At 44.6% G+C, this 12,685-nt stretch overlaps 1 protein-coding gene across 3 annotated transcripts in view; it reads left to right on the top strand.

Moving 5' to 3' along the window:
- The window catches only part of EDARADD (EDAR associated via death domain), a 136,672-nt gene that overhangs the window by 57,168 nt on the left and 66,819 nt on the right, over nucleotides 1-12,685 (top strand). For all 3 annotated transcript variants that reach the window (NM_001422628.1, NM_145861.4, NM_080738.5), the window contains 2 exons: nucleotides 3,790-3,848; nucleotides 8,834-8,873. In NM_001422628.1, coding sequence (NP_001409557.1) covers nucleotides 3,795-3,848; nucleotides 8,834-8,873 — 94 coding nt within the window. In that variant the 5' untranslated portion in view covers nucleotides 3,790-3,794. The remainder of the gene's footprint in view (nucleotides 1-3,789; nucleotides 3,849-8,833; nucleotides 8,874-12,685) is intronic.

A 12,685-nucleotide genomic window follows, 5' to 3' on the forward strand; every position in this document is an offset into this window, starting at 1 on the left:
AATCCAGAATAATGGTAGTAAGCTGAGTGTGGGATCCGGAGACCTGGAACTCCTCATGGTGCAGAGGAAGAGCCCGAGGCTTAGAAAGCTTACGTGACTTCTCCAAGGTCACACCTCTAGGCTTGTCCAAGGCCACAGCTCTAGACTTGTTTAAGGCCAGACTGCTAGCTCTTAGTGATGTGCCACTGAGGACCGGTCCTTCCTTGCTTTTAACTGTCCTGTGTGTGTCCTCAATGATGCTTTTTTTGTGGCTCTGCCTTTCCCAGCGATCTACTGCATTTTCCTCTCCTTCCTTTCTTTTTCTTTCTTTCTTTCTTTCTTTCTTTCTTTCTTTCTTTCTTTCTTTCTTTCTTTCTTTCTTTCTTTTCTTTTTCTTTCTTTCTTTCCTTCCTTCCTTTCCTTCCTTCCTTCCTTCCTTCCTTCCTTCCTTCCTTCCTTCCTTCCTTCCTTCTTTCTTTCTTTCTTTCTTTCTTTCTTTCTTTCTTTCTTTCTTTCTTTCTCTTTCCTTTTTTTTTTCTGCTCATTCTAATTTTCCTGTAGGAAGCAGGATTAACTTGTCCTGGACGCAGCGGGCATTGTTTGCAGAGGATGGTGTCAGAGCATTTAAAGCCCCCAGCCTCACCCCACCCCTGGCTCCACACTCCAAACCCATTTACCTGAAATTTCACTGTGTTGATGCTATTAACAAGCCACACTCCTGGCAGGATGGCATTTTTAAGCCGTATCCTCCAGGTACCCTGTAGTGAAGATGAAATATGTGAGACTAGGCTGTGATAGGAGGAGGGAGAAGGGACTTCGGGCTATTTTGTGGTGGCTTCTACCACCCCCTCCCCAGCTAGGAACCAGCGTGTGAGAAGGATGGGAAGGAAAAACTGGAAAACCGAATGCACGTGTGTCCGGCTGTAAGGACTCATCTGAAGCATCGTCATATGTCACTTAACAACAGGGATACACTGTGAGACATGCATCACTACATGGTTTCGTAGTTGGTGAGCGTCATAGAGTTCACTTACACAAACCTAGATGGTGTAACCTACAACACTCCTGGGCTGTTTGGTACAGCCCATTGCTCCAGGACTACACACCTGCCCAGCATGGGACCACCCTGAATACAGCAGGCGGCTGTAACACAGTGCTATTTGTGTGTCTAAACATATCTCAACATGGAAAAGGTATGGTGAGAAGATGGTGGTCTAATCTTTATGGGACCACCATCATATACATGATCTGTCCTGTGACTGTACGTTAATGTGTCATGTTCTCTCTCTTCTCTGTGGCTGTGCTATTCCCTCTGCCTAGAATGCTTTTCCCTCGCTACCATGTCAACTCATCCTTCCAGACTCAGCCCTCAGGCCCTCTGCAGGCTCTTCTCCCACCCCTCCTCTCTCCGGGAGCTCCCCAGGCTGCGAGTGCTGGGTCTGGGTGTCCCCTGGTTGTCCTGCACTGCCACTGCCTTAGCACTAAGGGCTCTGTATCATTACTTGTTGCTTGGGCAGTAAGAGTTCTGCCATCTCAGGGAGGCATTAGCAACACAATTTGTTTTTCATTTTCTTTCTATCCATTTAAATCCAAATCTGAGTGTGTATTGCACTGGACTGGCAGGAAATTCCACTTCAGTCAGAACTGGGGCTCTGTCCCTTAGGGCCACACAGGAATCTGAGGGGTTCATGTGGTGCTGGGAAAAACTAGGAAAGGACCTCAAATTTGTAGTGCATCAGGGAGGCATTGCTGTCTTATGGTCCTGGCCTGAGAAGTCCCTTGAGACCCAGCAGCCCTCTGTTTCTGTGCTGGACACAGGGCACAGGTCTCTTTGCTGGTGCTGGGCCGCGGTCCCCGGGGGTTAGGCTGCTCTGTGCTGTCTCTGATGCAGTCTTGCCACCTTCATGCTCTGCAGATGTCTGTATCCTGCTCCATGGGAGGCAATGGCAAAGGCTCTCTCCATTCGTCCCCATTTCTCTTCAGTGACTGGAGGCTGCATAAAACAAAGAGATGTTGCCTTCTCGAAACTTCTTTGGGCATTATCAACACCTGCAGGGCAAAGAAACTGTGGAAAGTTCAGACACATTCTCAGCTGGGAAACACCTAGGAAGAACACACACAAATTATTATCTTGACAAATTGTCCTGCTGTGCTTATTTGGATCCCCAAAGGCATTCCCAGGACCTAATTCCTAGTCTGCAATATGTACTTAATGAGGATTTGGATCAAAAGTGAATGCTGACTCTTGGCGGACCCACGACTGCCACTTAGGGTACTGCAGGTCGTTCACTGCACAAATCTGGAGGATCCCACGCAAAAAGATTTGATTATTTACTGAGACAGCTCTCTGGCAGATGTCTTATAAAGCATTTTGGAGATGGGAAACTTTTCTAATTTGTACTAATTAGGTCCTGACTGAGGTCTGTGCCTTTTTCCGTATTTCCCCTTTAAATTCCTTCAATGCATCAAGTGATAAAGTATCAGAAACAAAATATTGAGAAATCAAGATTATTTTTGATAAAAAACTATGGTTTTTTCTTTATTAGTCCACATAAACAACATTCAGAAGATTAAGAAAAATGAGTTGCAGCAAAATAGGAAATCAGGAAAGAAGTAGATTCAGAATGGAGTCATTCCTGCCGAAGGTAGTGTCAAATTCAGTAGGCAAGAGAGTCATTAATGTGATGCCTGCATAGTTTGTGGTTGTTTGTAACTCTGGGTATTTGAAGATATTTATAGGTAACCTGTTCCAAAATATGGTGGGGTTTTTTATGTAGTTACTTTTTATATTTTTAATTAATTAATTTATTTTTTTGAGATGGAGTTTTGCTCTGTCACCCAGGCTGGAGGGCAGTGGTGTGATCTCAGCTCACTGCAACCTCCACCTCCCAGGTTCAAGCTATTCTTCTGCCTCAGCCTCCTGAGTAGCTGGGACTACAGGTGTGCACCACTATGCGAGGCTAATTTTTGTATTTTTAGTAGAGATGGGGTTTCCCTATGTTGGACCAGGCTGATCTTGAACTCCTGACCTCAGGTGATCTGCCCGGCTTGGCCTCCCAAAGTGCTGGGATTACAGGCGTGAGCCACTGCGTCTGGCCTATAGTTTCTTTTTATTAATCTATTTCTTGATGCAATCTGAATCTGTTCCTCTTTATTTTGTCTCAACTAATAATTGGAAGTAAGACTTTCAGGCCAGGTGCGGTGTCTCATGCCTGTAATCCCAGTGCTTTGGGAGGCTGAGGTGGGAGGATCGCTTGAGGCCGGAAGCTCAAGGTTGTAGTGAGCTATGATTGTGCCACTGAGTGTACTCCAGCCTGGGCTACAGAGCAAACCCTATTTCTTTTTTCTTTCTTTCTTTCTTTTTTTGAGATGGAGTCTCACTCTGTCTCCCAGGCTGGAGTGCAGTGGCACTGTGTTGGCTCACTGCAACCTCCGACTCCTGGGCTCAAGCGATTCTCCTCCCTCAGCCTCCTGGGTAGCTGGGATTACAGGCGCCCACCTAATTTTTATTTTTATTTTATTTTATTTTTTAGTAGAGACAGGGTTTTACCATGTTGACCAGGCTGGTCTCGAACTCCTGACCTCAAGTGATCCACCCGCCTTGGCCTTCCAAAGTGCTGGGATTACAGCATGAGCTACCTCACCCAGCCAATCCTATTTCTTAAAAAAAAAAAAAAAAAAAGGAGTAAGGTTTTCTTCAGCCTAAGTAAAATTACTTGCCTCTGTATAGAGACAGTTATCAAAGGACTCATTTGTGGTTTTAAATTAAAGCAAACCCGCTCTATTTGTTTGTTTTTGTTCTTTTTACAGATCATATGGTAAAGGAACCAGTGGAAGACACAGACCCTAGCACTTTATCCTTTAATATGGTAGGTGACAAATTTTACACTAATGGTGATAATTATTGTTTTGCTTTTTTTCTTTGTTATTTCTTTACGTTTTTATTACTCAGTATTTACATGTGCATCAGAAACCCCAAAGTAAGATTTTTCTAAGATAACTGCTTTATCTTGGTATTCTACGTGATAATAATAAACTTTGGGTTTCTCCAGGCTAAAAATGGCGTTAGATTCTTTTCTTCTTTTGCTCATGTTGGAGGTGATATTACATTATGTGAGGGCTTTACCCACTTCCCTGGTTTTTTTTTATTTCATTTTTCATTTTTATTTTTTTTTAGACGGAGTCTTGCTCTCTCACCCAGGCTGGAGTGCAGTGGCGCGATCTCAGCTCACTGCAATCTCTGCCTCCCAGGTTCAAGCGATTCTCCTGCCTCAGCCTCCCAAGTAGCTGGGACCACAGGCATGTGCCACCATGCCTGGCTAATTTTTTTTTTTTTTTGGTAGAGTGGGGGTTTCACCATGTTGGCCAGGCTGGTCTTGAACTCCTAACCTCAGGTGATCTGCCACCCTCGGCCTCCCAAAGTGCTGGGATTACAGATGTGAGCCACCGTACCTGGCCTACTTGCCTGTTTTTAATACTACTGGTCTGGTAATGGAGCAGCCTGGGATGCCAGATGGACACACGCTATTGGATTTACCTCAGTTACAGCGTTTAGTTCTAGCAGCTGCCTTCTGAGCCACATCCTCTCCCCACCCTCCCGTAACCATTCTGAGGCTATTGCTTTAAGGGTATCCAAAGATTTCACATATATTGGTTTTTTAAAATTCATTTTATGGTTTTATTATTATTATCATTTTAATTTCAGATTCCATGGGTACGTATGCAGCTTTGTTACGTGGATGCATAGCATAATGGTTAGGTTTGGGCTTCTCATAAATCCATCACCCACATAGTGAACGCTGTACCTAATAGGTAATTTTTCAACCCTGAGCCCTCCTCCCACCCTCCCCCCTTTTGGAGTCCCTAGTGTCTGTTATTTCCATCTTTATGTCCATGGGTACCCATTCTTTAGCTCCCACTTATAAGTGAGAACATGCAGTATTTGATTTTCTGTTTCTGAGTTATTTCACTTGGGATGATGGCTTCCAGCTGCATCCATGTGGCTGCAAAGGAGAGAATTGTGTTCTTTTTTATGGCTGCCATCATTATTTTTCAACCTCCCAAGATCCTCCCAACCATCCCTTGAGATGGTGGGGCACGTACCCCCATCCTACAGATGCAGAAAGGACAGTTAATGGAAGTGTGCCGCCACCTAGACCGGAGCCCTGTGCTCCTGCCCAGCACTGCTTCTTGCTGAGGGCCAAAGCGGTGCTCTCTGTCAGGCAGCGTGTGTGATGGGCATATTGTGTAGGACACATTCCTTCTGTTCCAGATCCTCAGAGGATGGGATCTACCAACTCATGAAAAGTTTTGGTTAACTGATTTAGTTACAGCGACACAGAATACACTTCATGTAATTCAACTAAATGTCTTTAAATCTTAGGTGTCTTGCGGACCTGAGGTGTTTGTTTTCCTGTCCTTTAATTACCCCTGGCTTGGTAAATTGTAGACAGCGTAGGGGGTCAAGCTTTGATACCCACTGGAAATTCCTATGAAAAATTCTCAGTCTCTTCACTCTGATCAAAATGGAACGAAGAACAACCCTGTGGCCATGGCTTATATGTCTCTGGAGTAGCTTGTTACTAAAGCCTTTGGTTTCTATAAAGTGTTATTCAGTTTGCCTTCTTTCCCTTCCCACTGCCCCCACCTGTGACTCTCCAGTTCTCCCTGGTATCCTGCTTACTTCCTGATACCAGGTTTTCTTTCCCTCCCTTGGAGCTATGTCCTTATGCTCACCTTGGGGCTCAGCTACCTCTAATTACTTCTCCATGCTGGGGACAAAGTGATCTTTCCAAAGTGTCCCTCTTACTAGTTTCTTAGGGCTGTCGCAACAGAATACCACAGACTGGGCAGCTTTCACAATAGAAATGTATTTGCTCCTGGTTCTGGAGGCTGGAAGCTTGAAATCAAGGTGTCCTCAGGGCCATTCTCCCTCTGAGACCCATAGGGAAGAATCTTTCCTTGTCTCTTCTAGCTTGTAGTGGTTGCCAGCCATCGTGGAAACTCCTCAGCTTATAGAGGCATCACTCCGTTCTCTCACTCGTTAGCACATGACCATCTTCTCCCAGGGTGTTTGTGTCTCGTCTCTTCTTCTCCTTCTCCCTCTCCTTCTTCTTTCTTCTTCTTCTTCCTCTTCTTCTTCTTTTTTTTTTTTGAGATGGGGTTTCACTCTTGTCGCCCAGCTGGAGTGCAATATGCAATGGCGTGATCTCGGCTCACTGCAACCTCTGCCTCCCAGGTTCAAGTGATTCTCCTGCCTCAGCCTCCCAAGTAGCTGGGATTACAGGTGCCCACCAACGGGCCTGGCTAATTTTTTTGTATTTTTAGTAGAGACGGGGTTTCACCATGTTAGTCAGGCTGGTCTCGCACTCCTGATCTCAGGTGATCCGCCTGCCTTGGCCTCCCAAAGTGCTGGGATTACAGGCGTGAGCCACCATGCCTGGCCCTCGTCTCTTCTTTTAAAGATACCAATCATATTGGGTCAAGGGCCTACCCTCCTCATAACTTAACTAATTACCTCTACAACTACCCTATTTCCAAATAAAGTCATATTCTGAGGAACTGGGGGTTAGGACTTCAACACATCTGGTTTGGGAGACAGAATTCAACCCACAGTATTCCCGCTGGGTACAGGATTTAGTATATACCCCTTGACATGGGAGATGAGGTCCTCCATGGCCTTACCTCAGCATCCACTGCTCACCTGCTGACCCAGCCCTGTGTAGCTGTGTGGTGCTTCTTAATACGCCATGCCCTCTCACCCTCCCAGGGTAGCAATAATGCTGTTCCCTCTGGCAAGGAAAATCTCCCTGCATCTTTACCTAATGAACTCCTGTGCTTCTTCCCATCTCACTTCAAGTATTCCCCTGATCTACAAAGCCTTACTTGCCTTGGGACTTTCAGGTGCTCCCTTCTCCGTAGCCCAATCCCTATTTGCCATCTCAGAGAATTGTCATTGCCTGCTTGTCTGACTTCTTGCAAGACTGTGTTGACCATCTTCCCTCATGCAAAGTCAGTGCAAGGCAGGTAGCAAGTTTCCCGAGAACCTAGAAGGGCATCCCACCTAAATCCCTTTGCTTATCTTTCTTGGTCTTTCTTAGAAACTGGGTCCGTCATTTCTCATCTAATCCCGCCTTCCTCTGTCCACCTCCAACAGACTCTCTGTTTCAGTTCTATACCCTCCGCTCTTCCAGCCACCTGATCCCTTCTCCTGCCATGCCTGCCACCAGCAACTACTTTGCTGCTTCTTCTGAGTTCATCCAATTCTCAGCCATTCTCTAGGGCTAGCTCCAGCATCGTCTTTCTAGGAGCCCTGAACTTGCTCTGGCTTCTGTGTTCTTCCATGCAGACTTTCAGTGGATGTTTACTTAAAACTATGTTACAATCTGGGAATGCACAGATTGTAATTCCATCTCTGGGAAAACTCAGTCTATCTGAGGAAATAGACAAGTACTGTTTATTTTTATTTATTTATTTATTTTGAGACCAACTCTTGCTCCGTTGCTCAGGCTGGAGTGCGATGGCACGATCTCAGGTCACTGCAACCTCCGCCTCCTGGGGCAATTCTCGTAACTCAGCCTCCTGAGCAGCTGGGATTACAGGCACGGGCCACCATGCCCAGCTAATTTTTGTATTTTTAGTAGAGATGGGGTTTCACCATGTTGGCGAGGCTGGTCTTGAACTTCTGATCTCAGGTGATCTGCCTGCCTCAGCCTCCCAAAGTGCTGGGATTACAGGCGTGAGCCACCGCACCCAGCCTCTTTTTGAAACAGAGTGATAAATGTTCTAGTACAGGTTTGTGTTCCTCGGTCTTGGGAGTAGAATGATGAGAACTAATTTGATCTGGGGTAGAACTGTAGGACTATTCTGTGTGATTAATTTTTATTTACTAATTTATTTTTGTTGGGAGAGGTTGGAGGCTTCTAGAAGTTTTAAAACTTTACTGCCCAGCTCCAAAGAAACTCCCAGGAAAGGCACTTAAAACAAAACCCTCGATTCTCCATTTCTTTCTCTCTCTCCTCTCTTGGAGGAAGACATGGGTGGAGAGCTACAGGAAATTGTTCAGGTGTAATTTTGTTCAGGCTGAAGGACAGGGCTGAGTGGAGTTGGGAGCTGAGCAGGGGTTAGGGGACAGGGTTGGGAAATTAGGCTCCTTTTCATTCCTCTCATGGACGTTTTCAGAAATGGCTACATTGTTTAGTCTGAAATAAGTTTCCGGAACTTTAGATATCGGCATGTAAGTATGAATAAATGAAAAGAAATATATGTGATTGTGAGAACATTTGCTATTTTGAATTCCTGTAACAGTATTACTCTCAACTGATGCATTGAGGAACTGTGCTGAATTCTGCATAATTACTGATTTTTAGATCTTTGTGCAGTCAGTAGGGAAGGGATCTTTTGAATCATCCTGTCTCAGTCGACCCAGGCCAGAGCTCTGCAATAGTGAGTACTGCCCAGAACACATGCTTATTGACCCCAGTGACTATTGCAGAAACGGTGAGAAGAAATGCATCTGTCCTCATAATTCATGACAACAAATGCTCCTCAATTGTAAACTGCAGGAGGCTAGCACTGCAGAAAAGAGAGGAAGTGTAGTTTCGTGGTCCAAGCTGTGGAAATTTGGAAGCCTTATTCTGTTTCATGTTCCAGCATTAACCTCTTGTCAACCTTGATTTCATTCCTGTCGACTGAGAATAAACACAATCAATGGATAAGGCCAGTTGATAAGTTTGAGGTTAAACATTTTCAAGTTTTTAATTGAAGTCATAACTTTCCCAAGACAAAGCTTTCTTTTCACTTTGATCTTACATGGCATTTAAAAATAATTCTCCTCTTTTGTTGGTTTCTACAGTCAGACAAATATCCCATTCAAGATACGGAACTCCCTAAAGGTATGTACAGTTAAAATAACTACTTGAACATGTGATTATTTTAATATTGTGAACAAAGCACTAGTCGACCTAATTTTTCATTATTTAAAATTGTAAAGTAGAAACATGCCCATAGATTAGCTCGTGACTTGTGACATAATTGTCTCAGAAATTAATTTTTTTCTTTTTTAAATAGTATCTTTTAACCTTGCAATAGAAATGAATTTTCTTATTAAAAACTGTAAATTATTCCATAACAAATTATGCGTTAAATTCCTGTGGTGTTTTTAACAGGCATAAAATGAAGACAGCTGGGACTTTGGGTTGCAAAGGGAGAGAAATCTAACACTAATTTGTTTAAAAAGCGGGAACTGGCCAGGCGCGGTGGCTCGCACCTGTAATCCCTGCACTTTGGGAGGCCGAGGCAGGTGGATAGCCTGAGGTATGGTGTGGGCGTGGTGGCAGGCACCTGTAATCCCAGCTACTAAGGAGGCTGAGGCAGGAGAATCGCTTGAACCTGGGAGGCAGAGGTTGCAGTGAGCCAAGATCGCACCACTGCACTCCAGCCTGGGCAACAAACTCCATCTCAAAAAAAAGAAAAAAAAAGTGGGAACTTGCTGACTTTGGGGTCTTTGGGCCCTGCTGCATCCAAGCATCTAAGTGAGGCTGTCAGGCTGAGTCCATCTCATGGCTCTGTCTTCTTCCATGTTGGCTCCATTCTTGGGCAGGATTTCCCCCCGTGGAGGGAAAGATGATTACTAGCGCCTCTTGCTTTAGATGGCGTTCTCAAGGTGGTGGAGGAAGAGGGAGCCTTTCCACCAGCACGGATAGCACAATTTTAGAGATGATTGTGATTGTGGCAGTTCAGGTCATGTGGCCATCCTTAAATCAGCTATTGTCATCAGGAGGATGGAGGACATTGGCCAGGTCTGAGCCTTGAGATCGGGTCGGGGAGGAGGGTCATGGAGTGGATTTTGCCCAAACCACTGTTCTGTGGCTAGACAAAGGGGTGAGGGATGCTTGTTAGGCCCAAAAGCAAACTAAAAAAGCTATCTTTGATAACCCATACACTTATGCTTTAGGCATGGTGCAGACCATAGGGGTGGCTAGACCCTAGCCTTCCATAACCTCTCCTGCTGGGTGGTCAGCAGGGCTATGTTCCTTTTTTATTATTATTATTTTTTGAGACAGAGTTTCACTCTTGTTGCCCAAGCTGGAGTGCAATGGCTCAATCTTGGCTCACTGCAACCTCTGCCTCCCGGGTTCAAGCGATTCTCCTCCCTCAGCCTTCCAAGTAGCTGGGATTACAGGTGCCTGCCACCACACCCGGCTAATTTTGTATTTTTAGTAGAGGCGGGGTTTCACCATGTTGGTCAGGCTGGTCTTGAACTCCTGACCTCAGATGATCCACCTGCCTTGGCCTCCCAAAGAGCTGGGATTACAGGCATGAGCCACCCACTGCACCTGGGCCCTGTGTTCCTTTATGGAGGCCAAGTTGCAGGTTGTCACAGTGGGGCCTCTACCTTGTAGTCTGCTGACAATCCAGAGATGAGGGGTGGGATGGGGTGGAGTTGGGGACAATCAGATCTGACTAGTTTCAGAGATGGCAGGGGCACCTGGCATCCTGGTCACCATGGAGGGGTAGGCCTGCCCAGCACGCACTAACGTGAGTCTCCCCAGCAGTTCTCATGGTAGTGGATAATCGTAGAGAGATCCCCAGGGCCAACCTGTCCAGAGTTTGGCCAAAGCTCTCCTCCTCTTCTCCCCCTACTATTCCAGACCCTTCTCCCTGCTCCCTGAAATGACACCATTAGAGTGTCCTTTCTTTTCTGTCCAAAAAGGCTGTGAGTGGCCTCAGCAAGTGGCTTCAGGTCTCAGGGTCTCTGTTTCCTCCTCAGCACAGCGGGGAGGACAAGGTTACCGTCCACCTCCCAGGGTGCTGGTGAGAATTCAGTGAAATAAATCGAGAATGGTGCCTGGCACTTGTGAACACCAGACAGGGGTGCAGGGAAATCCAGCCGAAGAAGTGTGAAAAATCAAGCTTAAAATCAAGCCTTCAGTCAGAATGGCAAAGTGAAACTGTCTTAGAAAAAGACGGAGCTGTAATGGCCCTAGCATTGAATGTCGTGGTGCCATCAGGCTCAATATCTTTTTTTGTCACTCTTAAGTGTGATTTCCTGTTTTGAAAGAAAAAGATTGTTGCTTAGCAACCTGATACTACAGTAATTGTATTATCAGATTTCTCCTAGAATTTGAGTTCTACAAAAATCTTAATGAATTTATAAGTAACGTGAATGTGAAAACCATACCCTAGGTCTTCCCTTTGTCCTTATTCATGCTGAATAGTATTTTTTTCTTAGATCAAGGAACAGATTGGAGTGAACATTATTATTAAGTGCATAATTTCTTATCTCCAAATGAATACATCATTTTATATGTAAATGAACCATGTCTAGAAGTTTAAAAACTTACTCCTACATTTGCGCTCAACAATATAACAACTTGATGTCTGCTAGCATTTTTCTTTGATGTCACTAGTGGGACCAATACTATCATTAGACATTGTGGTAATTTTCTCATTAAAGTTGTTTATGGCCGGGTGCCATGGCTCACACTTGACTCCAGGAGTTCAAGACCAGCCTGGGCAACATGGCGAAACCCCATCTCTACAAAAATATATAAAAAATTAGCTGGGCGTGGTGACATGTGCCTGTAATCCCAGCTACCAGGGAAGCTGGGGTGGGAGGATCACCTGAGCCTGGGAGGTTGAGGCTGCAGTGAGGCATGAACTTCCTGGGCTACACCCCAGCCTGGGTAACAGAATGAGACCCTGTCTCAAAAATAAATAAATAAATAAATAAATAAATAAGTTGTTTTCAGGGAAAGAAAAATCCACGTGAATTAACGAAGAGACTGATTTATAGACTTAAAAGCAATTGTAATTTAATTCTATAAAGGAAAGACTAGGACGCCAACGTTTAAGTGAGTTTTAAGGAGGCCAGCTTTATTTACTAGAAGCATCATTTGTAATTAGCGTTAAGAGTTTCACAAAATCTCTTACATACTGCTAACATATTCCTACTTCATTCACAGAGAGTATAAACCTTTAACAGTGGCCAGAATAGATTGGTTTTGAATAATGTGGTTTTAATAATCAGCTGTGGAAATCTAGTGTAATTTCATTTGTCAGCATCTGTTTTTGAGGTGAAATGTGTTGATATAAATTATATCTGTTTTCTCATAGGGCATAAATGCAGAACTTCCACCTCAAGCAGCCACCCCCTGATTTTACAGTTTTTGGGGGTTCATTTGGTTTGGGGCTCTTTTCTGATGGCTGTTCTGTGAGTCTGCGGGTACTAAGAACTGGTGAGATTGAGGTTTATTTTCCATCACGTGATTCCCAGTATCTCGCAGAAGCTGCTGCTTGATTGTTCTGAAGAAAATGTGACTGTTCACATTTTCGAGAGAAAAATGTGTTTGGAAAAGGAATTTTGATTTTTGAGCCACTATTTGTAATGGAAGAAAATTACACTTAAATACACGAATCTAACAAGATTTTATCATCTTCATTTTCTCTCGTGTCCCTGCTCTTTTCTTTGATTATTCAAAAAAATGTTATAGTGTATTTAGAAGTTAAAGAGAAGTAAGGTAGACTTTTTTTTTTTCTCTTCTTTTCTTTTTTTCTTTTTTTTTGAGACGGATTCTCGCTCTGTCGCCCAGGCTGGAGTGCAGTGGTGCGATCTCGGCTCACTGCAAGCTCTGCCTCCCAAGTTCACGCCATTCTCCTGCCTCAGCCTCCCGAATAGCTGGGACTATAGGCGCCCACCACCACG

This window comes from Homo sapiens, chromosome 1 (genome assembly GCF_000001405.40).
Source record: "Homo sapiens chromosome 1, GRCh38.p14 Primary Assembly".
NCBI classification, from domain to species: domain Eukaryota; kingdom Metazoa; phylum Chordata; class Mammalia; order Primates; family Hominidae; genus Homo; species Homo sapiens.